Source organism: Homo sapiens, chromosome 9, assembly GCF_000001405.40.
Source record: "Homo sapiens chromosome 9, GRCh38.p14 Primary Assembly".
Taxonomy (NCBI): Eukaryota; Metazoa; Chordata; class Mammalia; order Primates; family Hominidae; genus Homo; species Homo sapiens.
The window spans coordinates 120,063,142-120,083,394 of NC_000009.12; positions in this window are offsets into that span (position 1 = coordinate 120,063,142).

Here is a 20,253-nt window from a genome sequence, read left to right on the forward strand (position 1 = left end):
GGCAATGGTCCAAACCAAATGCCACAGCAAAAGGTAGAGTTTGCTCTGTTTCTTGGCAGGGTCTTCCACAATCCCTTGCATTCCTTCTGCATTCTCTATTTCCAAATAACCTCCATGATCTCTTGAAACCCTTATCTCTACCCCAAGGGTGGACCTTTCAACTCTAATCTCAGAGGAACATACTGAACGTCAGAAGGTTGCCTCTTGCCTGAGCTCACAAGCAAGACGGAGAAAGCTCTAACTTTTTTTTCCTGGTATCTCCCAATATCTTTTCCTATCACTTAATTCAAGTCTCTGCTCAAAGACCGCCTCCTCAAAGACTCCTGAATCACCCTCCCTAAATTGCCACCCCTGTGTCTTTCCCTCACCCTTTTTTTTTTTTTTTTTTAATGGAGTCTTGCTCTGTCACCCAGGCTGGAGTGCAGTGGTGCAATCACAGCTCGCTGCAACCTCCACCTCCCAAGTTCAAGCGATTCTCCTGCCTCAGCCTCCCAAGTAGCTGGGACTAGAGGCATGCACTACCATGCCCAGCTATTTTTGTATTTTTAATAGAGACAGGGGTTTCACCATGTTGGCCAGGCTAGTCTCGAACTTCTGACTTCAGGCGATCTGCCCACCTCGGCCTTCCAAAGTGCTGGGATTACAGGTGTGAGCCACCATGCCCAGCCACCCTGCTTTATTTTTGTTAACAACTCTTATCCTTACCTGACATGGTATCACACATTTCTCTATTTTTAGTCAGTCTTCTCAATAAGGATGCAAGCTCTCTGAGGGCAGGAACTTTGTTTTGCTCACAGCTGTATGCTCAGTACCTATGACAGTTATTGGCACATAGTAGGAGGTCAATAAATAGGTGTTGAATTCGAGTGAATGAATGAATGATTGAATGAATGAAGATGATAATCAGCTTGATCTTCCATTCCACGTCTGTGAAAGCACAAAGCCCTCTAGAGTCATCCTAATTCTGGCCTTTGGCTTCTGTAGAATTTTCTCTGTTAATGGGGCATCTCCCTTCTGCTCATGTTCTACTTCTATTCCACACCACTTAGGCCCAATGGGAAACTCAAATCCTTCCACAGTTGTCTCCAGAAATACTTCATGCACACAAATTTTTCTTAGACATCGTCAACTTTACTGATCAGAGAAGGAATTTACATCATACGAATATAAACAATTTCATAACAAACATTAGACATCACTATTTTTAGTGTGTCCTCAGGTCCTGCCACCATCAAAGAATTTTCACCAACCACTTCTTGTAATCTCCAATTCCTCTCACCACCTCAAGCTCTGTCCCTGCTCACTTCCCCTTCTCCTTACTTCCCTCCCTTCCTCTCCCACCTTCTCTCTTTTCCTCTCCTCTTCCCTCTGTATCAATCTGTTCTCATGCTGCTAATAAAAACATACACAAGACTGAGTACTTTATAAAGGAAAAAAATTTAGGACTCACATTTCCACATGGCTGGGGAGGCCTCACAATCATGGCAGAAGGTGAAGGAGAAGCAAAGGCATGTCTTACATGTCAGCAGGCAAGAGAGCTTGTGCAGGCGATCTCCCATTTATAAAACCATCAGATGTCGTGAGTTGTATTCACTATGATGAGAACAGTATGGAGGAAACCACCCCCTTGATTCAATTATCTCCACCTGGCCCCACCCTTGACACGTGGGGATGATTACAATTCAAGATGAGATTTGGGTGGGACACAGCCAAACCATATCACCTCCCACCTCTCCTTTCCCAGAAAAACAGAGCACTTTACGCATCTCTTTTGAATGCTTTACCTCCTGTGGTCTCCACGACGGTATTTGAAAATTTTGTATTGATGTATATATAAGCTAACCAGTATTTCCAGAATTTGAATAATATATAAATTCCCTTTAAGGGAAAGTGATTCTCACGACCATCCCAATTCTCCCATATCTTCAGATCTGGGCTTTGAAAACATTAACTTTATTTAAGAAAATCAAATACCATTCTATGCAAATGTCTTTCAATGGTAAATTACCACTGCTAAAGAAGCTTTGTCTATAAAACCTGTAAAAAGAAAAGAAAATTAAAACCAAAAAATAAATAAGTTCTCGTAACTCAAGGAGCCTCAAGAACATATTTTTAGAGCCCAAAGTTTCACGACTCCAGTTTGAGAAACACTATAAATAACCTAAGGCCACCTGGTCCGACTTCCTTGTCATACAGATGAGGTAACTGAGACCCAGAGGGGGATGTGGCTTGCTCCAGGTCACACAGCAATGCAGACTGGGACCTGGAACTTCTGGCTCTTCGTTCTTCTTGAATCTACTTTCTACCTTGAATTATCTTGATAGCTATTGTTAAAGAGGAAATTATTCAATGACACTTGTTAAAGCATGATAAGGAGGACTTTATTCAGGACCATTGCAGTAGGTATGGGTAACATTGCAATGGGATTTTGCAGTGAAGGAGAAAATTGGGCTGAACTCCTAATACAGCACAGGCGAGTGGGAATGTATGGCTGAGGAACAAGGTGGGAATCAGTGGATGGATAATTACTACGAGGAAGCATCAGGGATAAAGGGGGATTCTGGCTCAACTGACCTAGCAGAATTCTTGCTGAAGACAGGCCAGGGTGATCACACGTCATCTGAGGGATGATGGAGGGTGAGAAACCTGATCAGATATTAAGGGCAACCAGGTATCAAGGGGAGGATATTCTTGCTACGTTGACTTAGCAGAATTCTTGCTAAAACTGTATTTTACAAGGAAGTACACAGATGTGCCTTGGGAAAAGTTTAGGAGCCTGACAAAATTTGGTCAGACAAAGAACCTTTGTCACTATCTATCTAATCATATTCTTTGATAAAATTATCAATCTTCTACTTCATTTTCTTCAGGTTGGCTATCCACCTAATAACATTCTTTGATAAAATTCTCTATCTTCTACTTCGTTTTCTCCAGGTTGGCTTGGTTTGTTTGAAGGAAGTAGATATAAAATCTCCCCACCAAAAGCAACTATTTTCCTGAGGAATTTAATTCCCCAAACTCAGTAGAGTGCCAGGTCCAAAGCCTTCAAGAATCCATAGCCTCTTCTTATTGTTGATGAAGTGGCAGGTGAGAAAACTGGTACAAAAAGAAATGTTTCTGTCTACCTCTCTCTGTGAGGTAACAGACAATGTCCCTCTAAAGAACTCCTTCATAGGACCCTCCAACCTAAAACATTTCCCACAGCCAAACAAATGTCTTTACTCTCACCTCCTTTAGTCATTCATTTAATCTTTCAACAAGCATTAATTGCGTGCATAATGTAAGCCAAGGTCCTCTTGAGTCAGGAAAATGAGTCTCAGAGAAAGAAAGCGACTTACTCAAGACTGCAGAGTCCAGAAATAACTACAATAAAATGAGTCATTTTATTTTAATTCCCCAGATGCTTGGAAGCAGTGTGTTCTACAGTGAAGATCCTGTGTGAAACCGGTCAATGGAACTGAAGGGAGACATACTCTTTAAAAAAAGATAAAGAAGAAACCATTTATAAGGAAAGAAACATTGAAGGGCAGAAAGTAATGAGTCACCATTGCAAGTTGGCACAAAAAGAAAAATTAGTTCATAAAAATGCAGTTGGATAAATAATAGGTTATTTCATCATGTAAATATATCCCAAAATAACTTTATTGAAATGAAAATATCTATCGCAGCCTAAACTATTCATCACACTAACGTATATCTAGAATCCTAACAAATTTATGAAAATGTTATATTCCATAATCTTCCTGATCCAATGCAAATAAATAGATGTGCTTCAACTGTCTTGTTATGAAATGATTAATCACTGCTGCCAAAAGCAGCCAAGAAGCTAATTTTGATTTCTCACGTTGTGGGTGGCATTTGAGGGAATCCGTGAGGACTTTTCTCTGAGTATTGGACCTTGTAGAATGAAGATCTCATTCCTCTGTCTTCCCCAATCTGGGCCAACCTGGGAAAGGATCATCATTATCTCTTTTAAGCTGGGTAAAGCTTTTCCCAGATAAAGAAATTCCAGAGCTTCTTATTAGACAGAAGAAATCAGGACCAGGAAGGAGGGAAATTAATATTCCTCCTGTTATTTTCTTTTATTCCCACTACAGTCCAAGAAAAGAACTATAATTAAGATGACAGATGAGGAAAGTGAGGCTGGAATTTCCCCCAAATCAGCTAGAGACTGGCTTTCCAGGAGGGTGGCCTACCTGTGAATATTTGCCCAAGTCTTTCCCAGTTTGGGCTTCGAAAGTCCCATGTTCTAGAAAACCCCATTACCCCCCAGGCCATGGGGACAACTGGTCACCATACCCAGCAATTCTAACGTGGGTTTACGTGATTTCAAAGCCCTGTGCTTTTTATACATGTACATGACCTTCCCTAGGAAAGCTCAGAGGCAACATTCTGGAGGCAAGAACTCTTCCAGATTGGAGATAAAGGATAGGGTTTGGATTTAAGCATGGCCTCTAATCCTGGAAGCTGTATGCCCCTGGGTGAGGCAGTTGAATATCAAGCTTTCTGTTTCTTCAACTACAAAACAGAGGAGGGAGAAAGTGGAGATTAGACTAAATTATCCCTACACTTTCTTTTTTTTTATTTTTTTATTTTTTTTTATTATTATTATACTTTAAGTTTTAGGGTACATGTGCACAATGTGCAGGTTAGTTACATATGTATACATGTGCCATGCTGGTGTGCTGCACCCGTTAACTCGTCATTTAACATTAGGTATATCTCCTAAAGCTATCCCTCCCCACTTCCCCCACCCCACAACAGTCCCCAGAGTGTGATGTTCCCCTTCCTGCGTCCATGTGTTCTCATTGTTCAATTCCCACCTATGAGTGAGAATATGTGGTGTTTGGTTTTTTGTTCTTGCGATCGTTTACTGAGAATGATGATTTCCAATTTCATCCATGTCCCTACAAAGGACATGAACTCATCATTTTTTTATGGCTGCATAGTATTCCATGGTGTATATGTGCCACATTTTCTTAATCCAGTCTATCATTGTTGGACATTTGGGTGGGTTCCAAGTCTTTGCTATTGTGAATAATGCTGCAATAAACATACGTGTGCATGTGTCTTTATAGCAGTATGATTTATAGTCCTTTGGGTATATACCCAGTAATGGGATGGCTGGGTCAAATGGTATTTCTAGTTCTAGATCCCTGAGGAATCGCCACACTGACTTCCACAGTGGTTGAACTAGTTTACAGTCCCACCAACAGTGTAAAAGTGTTCCTATTTCTCCACATCCTCTCCAGCACCTGTTGTTTCCTGACTTTTTAATGATCGCCATTCTAACTGGTGTGAGATGGTATCTCATTGTGGTTTTGATTTGCATTTCTCTGATGGCCAGTGATGGTGAGCATTTTTTCACGTGTTTTTTGGCTGCATAAATGTCTTCTTTTGAGAAGTGTCTGTTCATGTCCTTTGCCCACCTTTTGATGGGGTTGTTTGTTTTTTTCTTGTAAATTTGTTTGAGTTCATTGTAGATTCTGGATATTAGCCCTTTGTCAGATGAGTAGGTTGCGAAAATTTTCTCCCATTTTGAAGTTTGCTGGGCAAGGACTTCATGTCTAAAACACCAAAAGCAATGGCAACAAAAGCCAAAATTGACAAATGGGATCTAATTAAACTAAAAAAGCTTCTGCACAGCAAAAGAAACTACCATCAGAGTGAACAGGTATCCCTACACTTTCTTTCAGCTCCAACATCTTGTCATTCTAATTGGATTCTACCCGCCCCATATAAACCATCCTATAAGGAAAGAGTGAAGGCAATAAAACCTCTTCCATCTCTGTGTAAAATCCTGTCCAATTACCTTTATAATTAGAAAAATAAATTTTTTTACTTTAGAAATCCTGTTCCGTTTTTCCACTTTTTTTTTTTGAAGAGTTTGTTTTGGGAGAGAATCTGGCTCCTGTAGAAAAAAAACAAAGTTTCTGGCTGAAACTGTGAATTTTGTAACTGCAAACTCTTTTAAAGGCAAGAAGGCAGACAGTGAAAGGATGGTTGCTAAGGAAACAATTGTATTTAAATTATCAGCTCACAATAGACCCAGCAAAGATATTGATTGGATGTGAGAGGGTAAAATTATTTTCTTCAAACTAGAGAAAAACTGAGGGTCTGACTAAGGTCCCAGGGTGGGAAGAGACTTGTGGTGTGATTGTACTGTTTTTCTTTGTTTAATTGGAGATGCTAAGAATGGAAGAAAAGATGCTTGCTTTATATTCTCTTTAATAGTCTCTCCCTTACATTCACTGAAACTGGGAGAAATGAATACACAGAGAAGGGAAATTTGTAGTGCTTACTAAGAAAACTAATGGTTTTCCAACAGTCCTGAAACCAGCACATAGGAGAAACTAATTAGAGCAGAAATGATCACATACTACTTTCTACACAAGACAGCATTTTTCTAAGTAATTCCCTGGGTTAGCCCATTTAGCCTCACAATAACCCATGAAGTTATTATTATTAATATTCCCATTTTACAGACAAGGAAACTGAGAAGGATTAAACAAGTTGTTCGAGGTCGCACAACTGGTAAGTGCAGAGCTGGGATTTGAATCCAGGCAGCCTGACACCAGAATCTACACTCTCACCTCTATATCTACCTGCCTTTCCAAGATTTTCAGGCCATATAAGCATAAAAACCCTATATTTGGATAAACTTCAGGAAAAAAAAATGTCTTCAGCTAAAGGCATCAAATGGAGATAGAAAGATATGTATTACCCAAGCCTGTGGAGGAAATCAGGATTTAATTAAGAAATAACTAACAATATTTAAGGACTATTGACAAAATTAACACATTGTATCTAGATGTGATTCTAGTCTCTTTAAATCTTTTGGTAGAGAAATATCATCTTTATCTACTGTTGGACTTAGGGGCTATTTGGTGGCAAAGGAACACATGTGTTCCCTGATTTAGCTCAGAGGAAGAGAGTGTTCAGCAGGCTGCAGGGATCTGGGGCAGGAAGGTACCAGGAACCAAGGTCACCAGCCCCTCCTGGCCACATGGTTTCTGCTTCTCCCTGTGCCTGCTCTCTCTCAGCCAAGTTCCTCTGTTTCCCAGGATCCAACATGACTGGCAGCTCCACGTCTTATAAGATTCATCCCATAGTGCCCACCACTGGTTCTCTTTGTTCAATTTGTCTCAAGAAAGAGTTGTCATAGGTAAGCCACCTCAAGGATCGTAAGACCGTAATTATGATCCAAACACCTGTGAAGGCTTGGTTAGGGGTGAGGGATGGAAGGGGAAAGACCCTGTGTGCACCCTTTAATTGGCTGATATTTAATGTGTATGTTCAGGAGTGTTAATACTTGCTTCTCTCCCGCAATAGTAGTGAGTCAAGTGAGGATACCTGTAACACTGACCCTAGATTTGATGGTGTATTTTTTAATCAATTATTTCTGATCATTTTAAGTCCTCATTGGCAATAAATACAGAAAAAAATAACATAAAAATAAGGGGGGTTATCAATTACTCCTCAAACTACCAGTAAAGATCCAGTATGTCAACAGATCCTAGCTTAAGAAACAGAAAATTTGATCTATTATGAAAAAGTTTATAGGTAACCAACAGGAGAACTCATTGCTTATGGTAGCAAGACATGGGAAACAACATAATGTTCATTAAAAAGGGAATGGTTGGAGGCCAGGCGCAGTGGCTCACATCGGTAGCCCCAGCACTTTGGGAAGCCGAGGTGGGTGGATTGCCTGAGTCCAAGAGTTTGAGATTAGCCTGGGCAACATGGTGAAACCCTGTCCCTACAAAAAATACAAAAATTAGCTGGGCATGACAGTGCACACCTGTAGTCCTAGCTACTTGGAAGGCTGAGGCAGGAGAATTACTTGAACCCGGCAAGTCAAGGCTGCAGTGAGCCAAGATCGCATCACTGCACTCCAGCCTGGGTGACAAAGTGAGTCCCTGTCTCAAAAAAAAAAAAAGGTTTGAGGGAGGTGGTTAAATAAGATATGTCTACATGATAAAATATCGTCCAGCCATTAAAAATAAGGTGGTAAATCCCAAGGTATGCACTTGGACCATTTTCCAGGGTGCAATATGTGAAAAGCAAAAGTACACAGCAGTATGTTTCAGAGGAAAGAAAGAACTTATAAAAATGTGTTGTTTGAACAGGGTTCCCCAGAAGGATGCAGAAGAAACAACTCACAGAAGTTGCTTCTGGAGATTTTGCAACAGGGGGTTAGGGTGAGAAGCTTATTTTCACTGCTTCAATTTTTTATTGTTAACATGTATCTCTCTTAAAAGTAAATTTTCTAATAGATAGATGATAAAGGTATATTCATGTAGGCCTATAAATGCATACACACATGTGAGTATATACACACATGTAGATGATGTAGATATAGACAGATGTAGATAAAGCTAGATAGAGACAGAGATATACCCCAAGTTTTCCCGGAATGTCCCTTTTCCTTATAGATCCCTTGGGAAGGTCAAGCATCTCTGGGACCCCTGGTCTCACCTCGTCTTCTGCTCAGATCTTACATCTGCTTATGTAAAGCCTTTTGTGGTTTACAAAAGATTTGTAAACCTATACCAACCCTATTTGATCCCTATACCAATCCTTTGGGAGGAGAAATGTGGGTGTCATTCTTCCATCTTACAGATGAGAGGACAGGTAGATTCCGATTCAACCACAAGACTGGAGAGTCTAGGTCTTCCAATTCCCATTCCTGTGCTCCTTTCACTTGATGAGGCTACCAGTGGAGCCAGCTCTGCATTTGACTCAACCATGTAGGCTCAGCCACTACCCCTTCCAAACACTTCACAGATCCCTCCTCTCTACTCCAACAGCACACTAGCCCCACCATGTGCCCTGTGCTCCCTAACCCCAGAGCTTAACCACACAGATGGAAACTGTCTACTGGCTTGTCTGATCTGCCACGCTTCTCTAAATGTGAGCCCCACAGTCAATCACTCCTCATTCCCCTGTCTACCCCATGCCCAGTGCCGTGCTTGGCACATAGAAAACGCTCAGTAAATGTTTGTCAAATAAATGATTCAGTGAATAATCATTCTAGAGCTGGTGGCTTCATAGGATTTGAGTTATTGCATTTTTTTTCTATCTATAAAGAAAAGCTCTGAGATGACCCCTCAGCTGTGTTCAGATATTGTAAATAATTGATCATAAAGATGAAACACACAGCCTGGACAGAGACCAGGAAACCTGTCAATATCATGGGAATAAATCTCTGCTCACAGCGGCCCAATGCCTGAGCTGGCTTTCCAAGGCCATTAAACTATCACTGCAGCTCGGGCATTAGTTGGAATAAAGTGTTTGTGTTTGTTTGTTATCATTTCTTAGTAAAACTAATTAACGAACTAATTGATTGTTTTGTTGTTCTACTAATTAACTCCATATGGTGCCCATTTCCATGGAGATAGACTATGAGTTATGGGAAGGACTCTGATTTAACATGCCGTTTCTGGGTTTGGGGATAATCCTTTAGAATTAAGGATCCTTTTCAATCTCATTTCCCTTCATTGCTGCAGCCATGTACTTGACCTTTCCAGCTCCTTGAGGGTGGGGAGATGGGGTCTGCCATGACCAGCCAGGAAAGAGCTCTGAAGGGACAAGAGAACCCAAGGCTAGAATGGATCATCAAGAAAGCCCCAAGCTAAGACAATAGCAATTATTGCAGAAGCTACCACTTTGAGCACCTGCTATGTAGCTGCCATCACACTGAACACTGTACATGCATTATCCCAAAACCTTTCAATGACCAACACCCACATTAGTGCTCCCATTTTGCAGAAAAAGAAACTGAGTCCTCAGAGTGATTTGCCTATGGTTATCCCAGCAATTTGTTTGTTCATTCCTTTGTTCATTCATTCATTCAACAAATATTTATTCAGCACCCACTACATGCCAGGCACAGTTCCAACCTCTGGAAATAGCTCTGGATCAGACAAATTCAATCCTTCTGCTCACAAAGCTTATATTCTAGAAGGGAGAGATAAGTAATAAATGAGAAAACAAATAAACAAGGTTATTTTAAATAATGACTAGGGCAATAAAAAATGTCTAGGTGGTGAGAGAGAGAGAGAACACAATGCAGGTGCTATTTGAAATCAGTTGGTTAGAGAAAATCTCTGTGAGCAGGTGATATCTGAGCTAGAATCTTGATAATAAGAAGGAACCATCCACGTGAATAGCTCAGGCAAGAACCTTCTAGACAAAGAGAATCGCAAGAGAAAGCTGAGGCAGGAAGGAGCTTCTGTTCCCCAGGAACCAGAGAGAGCCCAGAGGAAAAGAATCAGGGGGAGGAGGAAAGGAGAGGTGAGGTCAGATATGGAAGCAAAGCCAGGCCACGTCTTGGTAGAGTTTGGGTTGTCTTTTATGTGGAGGATTCAGTCCACCTGACTCTGGAGCTCATATTGTTCTCATCACCCTGTGCTACCCTCAGTTACAAGTCTGAATGATCCCACAAACATACACAGGGCACTCACCAAATGAGGTCCTGAGCAGGTCCTTGTTAGAGCCACTTTCCAAGGCTCCTGACCTGTGATCCCAGATCCTCAATAATCAAAGAAATTAGTCTTCAGATGCTTGACTCAGGAATGGGGATACCATTTATCTAAGGTCAGGCCCCAGAGCTCAAGGACCCAGGTCACAGTGTTCAGTAAATATTCACTCCCCTCTCCTTCCTGTGGTGGTAGGATGTTGGCCAGACCAGGTGATTTGCTTTGGCCCAGGGAAGCCAGCACATGTTATGCAAGTAGGGGCCTTACATGTCCTACCTAGATTGTCCAGGCCCTTGTGCTCATGTGACCTCTCATGCGGTGTCTTCCCAGGTAGCTTCTGTCCTTCAGCCTGGTCCTCAAAACAATCCCCCAGTCTGGAGCCACACCCAGCTGGCCACAGCCAGCCTGAAACAGAGACATTCAGCCTGGATCAGCTGAACCACCCACAGTCAATCCACAGACTTGGAAACCTAAGAACAAAGGCATGTTGCTGTAAGCTACTGAGATTTAGGGATGTTTGTTATGCGATAGTATTGTGGTAATAGCTAATTAGTATGCCTACTATGTGCCAGCCCTTGACTAGATGCTGGGATGCAGAAATGAGTAGTAAGGTTAAGGAATTGTCTCCGCCCTTGAGGAATTGACAGTCTACTATGATATGACTTATTTTTTTAAAGTCATTATTAACTCAATTCAGAAACATTGGACTTTCACACTGATTAGATACTCTGATTGGCAGCTGCATAATTAAAAATTTGAAAGGGACAAGATTAACTAATTATAACTTAAAATGTGCAAAGGCTTCTAGCAGTAGGCAGACTAATAAAGTGAAGTCACAGTGTGGTAGAAGAATGCAGTTTCTGAAGCCAGACCTACTGGCTTCAAATCCTTTTCCTGCTGTTTAGTAGCTGGATGATTTTAGAAAACAGACTCAACCTCTCTGAGCTCCAGTTTTTACATCTCTATAATACAGAAAATGATGCCCACTTCCCATGAAGTTGTCAAGATTGTACAAGAAAGTATATGTAACATATCCAACATGGTGTCTATTAGGACAAGCTCCCTTTTAGCTGTAGGTTCTTTGTTTTCTTTTTCTTTTCTTCCTTTTTTTTTTTTTTTTTGCAATTTGATTGTGGTAAGAACAACTTAATATGAGATCTACCCCCCTAATAGACTTTCAAGTGGGCAATTCAGCATTGTTATCTATAGGCATAATGTTGTACCACACATCTCTAGAACTTATTCATCTTGCACACCTGAGATCAGTAGTAACCCCCCAGTTTCCCCTCCCCTCCGCTGCTGGCAGCCACATTCTACTTTCTGCCTCTATGATTTTGACTATTATATCTATCTTTCTCTCTCTCTTTTTGTTTTTTGGGTTTTTTTTTTTTTTTAGATGGAGTCTCACTCTGTCACCAGACTGGAATGCAGTGATGCAATCTCGGCTCACTGCAACCTCTGCCTCCTGGGTTCAAGCAATTCTCCCGCCTCAGCCTCCCAAGTAGCTGAGACTACAGGCCTGCACCACCATGCCTGGCTAATTTTTGTATTTTTAGTAGAGACGGGGGTTCACCATGTTGACCAGGCTGGTCTCAAACTCCTGACCTCAAGTGACCCTCCCTCCTCAGCCTCTCAAAGTTCTGGGATTGCAGGCATGAGCCACCTTGCCTGGACCTATCTAACTCATATAAGTGGAATCACGCAGTATTTGTCCTTCTGTGCCTGGCTTGTTTCACTTGGCATAATGTCCTCAATGTTCATTCATGTTGTCACATATGACAGGATTTCCTTCTTTTTTAAAGCTAAATAGTTTTTCATTGTATTTATATGCCACATTGTCTTTATCTAGTCATTCATAGATGGACATTTGGGTTGTTTCTACAACATCTTGGTTATTATAAATAGTACTGCTGCCAAGAATACACACTGGGGAGAAGACATTCTCTTTCACAAATGGTGTTGGAAAAAACAGATATCTATATGCAAAAGTTACAAATTGGAACTTCTCTTCCGCCATACCCCAAAATCAACCCAAAATGGATTAAACACTGAAACCTAAGACCTGAAACTCCTAAAACCCCTAGAAGAAAACACAAGAGAAGCTTCATATCATTGGTCTTTGCAATTACTTCAGGGATAGGACACCAAAAACACAGGCAACAAAAGCAAAAATAGGCAAATGTGACTACATCAGACTAAAAAGTGTCTGCACAGAAAAGGAAGCAATCAACAGAGTGAAAGGGCAAACTATGCAATGAAGGAAAACATTTGCAAACAATATATCTCATAAGGCGTTAATTTCTAGAATATATAAGGAATTTCTACAACTCAATAGCCAAAGAATCCCCAAAATCCAACTTATTGTATATGCAAAATAGCTACATTTGTAATGTTCCCAACACAAGAAAAATAAACATTTGAGGTGATAGATATGTCAAGTATCCTGATCTCATTCTTACACATTATATACAGGTATCGAAATATCACCAGTACTCCAAAAATATGTACAACAATTACATATTAATTTTTAATGGGCTAAAGAGTTGAATAGACATTTCTTCAAAGAAGACAAATAAATGGCCAACACATGTGACAAGGTAGTCAATTTTACTAATTATCAGGGAAGTGCAAATCAAAACTTCAATGAGATATTGCCTCACATCTGTCAGGATGGTTATTATCAAAAACACAAAAGGCACCAAGTGTCAGTGAGGGTATGAAGAAAAAGGGAACTTTTGTACATTGTTGGTGGGAATATAAAATGATGTCCCCTGCCATGGAAAACAGTATGGAGATTCTTCAAAAAATTAAATATAGAACTACCATATGATCCAGCAGTCTCACTTCTGGGTATTCATCCAAAGAATTGAAATCAGGTCAGGCAGGTGGCTCATGCCTGTAATCCCAGCATTTTGGGAGGCTGAGGCAGCAGGATCACTTGAGACCAGGAGTTCAAGACCAGCCTGGGTGACAGAGTGAGACCAAGTCTCTCAAAAGAAAAAAAAAAGAAAGAATTGAAATCAAGATCTTGAAAAGACATCTGAACTCTCATGCCCTTAAATCCATTTTAGAGATGACAGAGATCTGACTTCAATCCTGTCTTCGCCACCACTCTGCAAAGTCAACCCCTTCCCCCATCTAGGCCTCAGTGTCTTCATCTATAAAATAAGAACATGGGGCTAGGAAATTCCAGAAGATCCCCATTAATTCTAAAAAGCAGCAAATTTGCTGTCTCCTGCATCGCTTCAGATTCCAACAATCATGGATGCTTCCTAAGAACCATGAGAGCTTAGGATGGGAAGGGGCTCCTCCTCTCTACCTTTCCTCCCAGCGAGTGCTCAGGACATCTTCCCGCTCACCCCGTTTCTTAAATGTCCTCCCTGACTTTTTCCTCCAGTCCCTGTCTCTAAACTTTCCAACTATTTATTTCCTCTGATGTTGTCTGAAGCTCCAGGATAATTGTTGCAGGAGAAGCAATCAGCTCAGCCTTCGACAAGTCATCGAGACGACAGGCAAGCAAGGGTATTAGGCTGTCAATTTCCGAGCCCTTCCAAATGTTGCAACAATTTTGGTGAATTACAAGCAATAGAAAATCACTCTGGGTGCTCATTAGGCAGGAGATAGGAGTGATGATGAATGCTTGGAAGTGAAGGCAGAAGCAGGCTTTCCCAGAGCCAAAAGCCCACCTTCTGGCATCTTCTAGGGATGGCTCACTTAACCCTTGCTGATCTGGAGGAAGTCCAAGGAGACAAATCCTCCAGGCTTTGGTCAATCCACTCAGGATTTATGGAATTCCCATTGTGCATATTGGGTCCTATATTGTTCAGTCCAGTGAGAGAAAGGCATTTAAAAATACCACAAAAGATACAAAAGATAAAAACTGTGGGAGTAAGGAAGAGAGAGAGAAACTGATTCTGACTGGGGGGTTGAGGGCAGCTTCATGGAAGAGGTGGTATTTTAGTGGGGTCTTGAAGAATGAGTAGAACATCAAAATATACCCTTCCCCTGCCATTGATGATGATGATCATGATGACGACCAACACTTACATGATGTTTGCGTAATTCTATTATATCCAAGTCTTGTAATTAAATGCCTTGCATATATATAACATTATGTAACAATTCACAATAAGCCTTAGTTAGATATTATTACTATCCCCATTTTATAGATGAAGAAACTGAGGCACAGAGAATTTAAGTAATTACCTGAAGAAGCACAGCCAAAAACTGTCTAAGCAGAAATACATAAGAAGTAATATGGATGAGTCATTTGAAGCAGACATGGGCTGATTCTCGTATAGTTTTAGGAAAAAATGAGAGGTGATTAATGAACAGTAGGAACATCGCTGAGGAAGAGCTGGGTTCAATTCCAGGCTCCACCATGTACTACTCAGGTGATTAGTCAGGTGGCTCAGGGGAATTACTTATATGTCCTGAGCCTCAAGCTCCTTAAAGGAGTTACCATGGTCCCTGGCATCCAGTAGCAACATTCAGAAATAATGGCAGCTGGAAATCAGCAACAGAAAACTAGATCTGCATTCATTCCAACACTCATAGCATACATTGAGCACCTGCTGTGGGCCCGGCACCAGGTAAAGTGTTGTGGGGAGAAAGACAAATGAGACCAAATCCTTGCTCTTGTGGGAAATGCAGTGTGGTAGGGAATGCTTGTAAGTATTAATCTATGTGCTTGCTCCTAGACTCTGGGGTCACGGAATTCTTTCAATTGTACCCCAAGGGCCTCTTCTTTTTCCAGCTCCCCAGGCTGCTTGTGAAGGTAAAAGTCATCTATTGTGGAATGTAAAACAAAGGTTGTTGTGAATACTTTCAAATTCACAGAGTCAGAGAGAGTTTTTGTGATTGCAGAAACCAAGTAAAGGGCATAAGAATGAAAAAAGGGAGAGAAAAAGTTGAAAAGGGACCCGGGGGACCAAAAAGGGTGAGGTGGAGATTTGTCTAGAGGAATAAAATGACCTTGTACCTAAGTGTCAGGGTATACAGGAATGCAAACTGCCTCAGCAGCATCTGAAGGGGACCCCATCGGCCAGAGGTCAAGTCCTTCAACCGTTGGTCATTCAGCCTTCCATGGTTGTTGTCTGTGCCCTGCAGACTGTGCCTCCCATTGGTTCATTCCATGAAAACCATCCATGGTCCCAGGGTCTTTGACACTTTCAAGGATCCCAGAGGAGAGGACAGAGGTGTTGGACACCTTATGGGATGATTGTGGCCTGAAGGAAAATCCTCAACCCCTGACCAATATGGCACTAAAAAGAACCAGTTTGAAATGGTCTCATTTTACTGCCTGGGGAAAGGAGTCAGAGAAATGAAGGCTTTGGAGATGCTGGTGCTGAGATGGAACCTGTCCACTGTCCCAGATTACAAAGGACAGTAAGGTCAATTCTACCAGTGGAGACAAGAGAAGGTTTAGAAAAACTTAATAGATAAGGTTGACCTTTAAGCTAAGTCCTGGTCCTAACCACCATGTCTTGGGGTGGAGCAGGGCAGTCATGTTGCCAACAGTAGCAAGACTGAGGCTTCAACTGAAGGGCCTGGGTAAGCAGGAGGTAACAAAATGGAAACGTGACTTAGGACAGAAAACAGGACCCCTCAGATCTGGGACAGAATGGAGGTTGGGGGAAGAGAACTCAATGATGAGTCCAGAGCTTGAGGCTGGAGCCCCTCTGGCCTCAAGTCAGGAACAGTCCTAGCCCCAGTGGCAAGATGAAGTCACAGAGGGGTTCAAGTGCTCAATCTGGGGATAGGGTGCAGACTGAGGCAGAGTCTGGAAGCCAGGCTGCACTCGACACATAAAGATGGATGTAAAATATTTGCGTTTTGACCCAAAGGTCAACTGCCTAAGCCTCCAAATGGAAGAAATACAGTTTAAGAGAAGTTTCTATGAAAAAGATTTAAAAGTAAAAGACGACTGCAAGCTCTGTAGAAGCCAGCCTTAAATTAAACCTAGATTTTTTACAGTTGTCCCAAATGCATGACAGTCAGATGTACAGTCAGAATTTAACTGAGGCATCTTTTAAAGCTGGCAAAGGGAATGGAAAACAAAGATACAAGGGCCAGTGACCCAATAAAAAGCACTGAGGCTATGAAGTCAGACAAATACAGGTTCAAATCCTGGCTACGGGTTTTAGTAGCTGCTCAACCTTCAGGAAGCTCTTTTGCTTTGCCAAGCCCTAATCTCCTCCACCGGTTTTTTTTGAAAGATTAGAGAAAACAGATGTGACGCAATTGACAGAATGCCTGGCATAAAATAGGTGCTCAAAATATGGTAGACTTCAATGATATGAAAGTGATGATGGTGGCGGTGGTGGTGGTGATGATGATAAATGAAATGATGATGTTGCCCTTTAATTAAGCCAGGCTGTGATGACACTCACCAGACCCCATGAGGTGGGGTACTCTTAAAATCTTAAGAGATGGCGAATAAGCATCCAGGTGTATAGTAAAAGAATCATCGCAGCTGGGGGCCTCTGAAGAGAGAAAACTTTATTTCATAGTCAATTGAAGCTGGAACTCTGGGTGGACAATAAAAATAGCTGTCATTTGCAGGGCTCTCCCTAGGGGCTGCAAGATGTATGGGGCTTTCACATTCATCAACCCATTTCAGCCCGACAGCACTCTGTGAGAGAGGCAGGGATGGCGTTCCCTCCCAGCAGAGGGAACAGCCCATGCAAAGACTCTGAGAGGGAGAAGATAGACAGCTGGAGAGTGGAAAACAAAGAGCAGAAGGGGCAAGAGGACACAGAACACAATAAATGGGACTCACACCTATAAAGCTTCTGGAACGGTGCCTGGCACACAGTAAGTGCTCAGAAAACTCAGATTCTTTGTCATCACTGTCACCAGAATCAAGAAGGAGAGGTGCTGCTGCAAGAGACAAAGAGCTCCCTGTCGTGGGAGGCATCCCACAGTGGTGGTCGGCAGACCTTTCAGGGAGCTGCAGAAAAGTACATTGAAGCATTGATTGGGGCAAGCCTTGGCTCTACCACGTCTGGGAACCATGTTGACCATTGCTCCCTGTGAGCTGGGGACCTGAGAAGACGGGGACACAGGAGGCATGGAGATATCTGGGGTGCCCTGAAATTCCTCTGTTTAAATGGAGCCCACTCCCCCGCTGCAGGCATCTGGCCATTACCAACTGCTGGGCTACAGGTAAATTTTGCCAGAGGCACCCAGCTGTCCCTAGGCATAAATGCCCCAGAAAGGCAGCCTTTCCCTTTGTGCCTTAATCTCATTTGAACTTGTCCTACCTCCTTTGTTCTCCCATTTTAATGATTCCATTCTCTCCACCGCCCCCCTCGACAACCACCCTGGATCAGCCCCCACAGCAGGGAGCCCTTTAATTGGCAGCGACGTTGCCAACGCTCAGCTGCGCAGGTGGAGAGGCATTTAGTGGTGTTTGTTCTGTGTAGGGGGAAGAAGGGAGAGTTCTTCAAAACCAAGTAGCTACAGTAGCTTATTCAACACAATTTGAAGGTGATAAATTGGACCTGATTTTTTTGTCATTTTTTTCCCCTGCCGGCTCTTCTGACAAGTGGCCACTGCTGAGATTGCCGAAGGAGACAGAATTGCTTTCCCCAGCAGCAACTGCCTTCCTGCTGCCTCCCTTCCTTCCTTCCTTCCCTCCCTTCTTTCCTTCAGGGGCCACCACACCACCCACTACAAGGCCAGCCTCAGGGCAGTGCCCGACAGACCTAGGGCAGCATCTCTGAGGATCCATGTGGCCAGGCTGCTGAGCTCTGTTAAGAAATATCTGGAGGCCGGGCTCAGTGGCTCATGCCTGCTATCCCAGCACTTTGGGAGGTTGAGGTGGGCAGATCACTTGAGCTTATGAGTTCGAGACCAGCCTGACCAGGATGGTGAAACCCTGTCTCTACTTAAAATACAAAAATTAGCCAGACACGGTTGGCGTGTACCTGTAGTCCCAGCTACTCGGGAGGCTGAGGCATTAGAATCACTTGAAACCAGGAGGCGGAAGTTGTAGTGAGCCGAGATCGTGCCACTGTACTCCAGCCTGGGCAACAGAGCGAGACCCTGTCTCAAAAAAATAAATAAATAAAAATAAAAAAGAAATATCTGGAAAGAAGGCCAGCTGTATACATTCACTGGAGTGTGACAATTGGGTCCAGAAGCTCAGGCTCTGAGAACGCTCTCCTCCTTCTTCTCCAGTCCCTTTCTTACTCAACACCTCAAGTAATTTATTTATTCCACAAGTGTCTATTAAATACCTATTACTGCCAGAGCACCATATGTCAGTGAGCAAAACAAAAAATTTCCTGCCCCAGTGGATAAGAGGGAGGATACACACAACTCTTAGTATGTTTAATAAATCAGCACATTACATGTATTCACAGGGTGTTGAGGGCTAAGGGAAAAACAAGCACAGGAGGAAAAGGGTGATTGAGAGTGTGGGATAGGAGTGGGGAGTTTGCAATTTTTGATAAGGTGAACAAGGTAGCCCTTATTGAAACAGTGATGTGGGGGTGGTGTCCTGAATGCATGCACTCAATCACTCACTACCCCATGCATTCATGACACCGTTCATTCATTCACTCCTTCATCCATGCAGGTATCCATTCATTCACTCAATCACTCATTCCTCATTTACTCATTCACTATTCATTGCCCCATTTTCTTGCTCACTCATTCATACATTCGTTCATGAGCTCACTCACCCACCAGTGTCTCAGGCACTGAGCCCTTTTCATTTCTTCCCACAAACATGTCTCATGCCCGCCTCGCTTCTGGGCCTTGGCATCAGTTGTTCTCATAGCCTGAAATGTTACCTCTGCTCTTCTCCAACTACAGTCCTTGGTTTAGAATCACCTGCTCCAGGAAGCCTCTCTGACTCATGGTCTAAGTTAAGGGCTCAGCTCAAGGTTTCCATACTCATCCTGTTTATCTCTATCACTACATTGTTCCAGCAGCCAGTTTCTTAGCCTGACTCCCCCACAAGATCATGAACTCCTTGAATTTTTGGACTGCATCTTATCCCCACAACTGACATTGTAGTTGGCACACCATAGATATTTAGTAAATGCTTGTAAAGTCGATCAATTTTCAGAACAGTCTGTGCAAAGAATTGGAAGGAGAATCACTGACCAGCCAGAGGCACATACTACTGGGAAGAGAAAGACATAGTTTGTGTTGAGCACCTCTATGCACCTCTATACATATAACTGATTAAGCTCACACTGACCCTATAAGGCAGGCATTTTTAACTGAACTTTTTAGATGAGGACATCAAGGCAAGAAAGGTTAAATGCATTGCCAAAGATCCCATGGACAAGAGGTGGCCCAGCTGGAATTCCTCCCAAGTCTGCCTGAATCCCTAAACTTGTTCTTGCCACACCCATGAACTGGCTCCCTAAAGGTAAGTAAAGTCCACCTGGCCAATTTGAGAATAAGCCTAGACCTCTGGAGACACATCCATGGGGTCCCGCCCCACCCACCCCCCCACCTTCCCCTCTTAGCTACCTGCTGCTGGCTAATAGAAGATTATTCTCCTGACTCTGCATTTAAATGGGGCCAGACCTACCCAAGACCACAGAACCCTGGCCTCAGACCTTTTAACTGGTAATTACTCTGCAGCCACAGTGTGAGATCATCCATTAACCTGAGGCCAAAGTGCGCCCTGCTAATCAGCCAGTTCGGATTCCATCAAGCAGCTGGACTGATTACGGACCTTAATCACAGAGGGACGGGCACAATCAGACTGTCTAGCCCTCCTTCTAGCCCGAAGGGGAAAGAAAGTTTT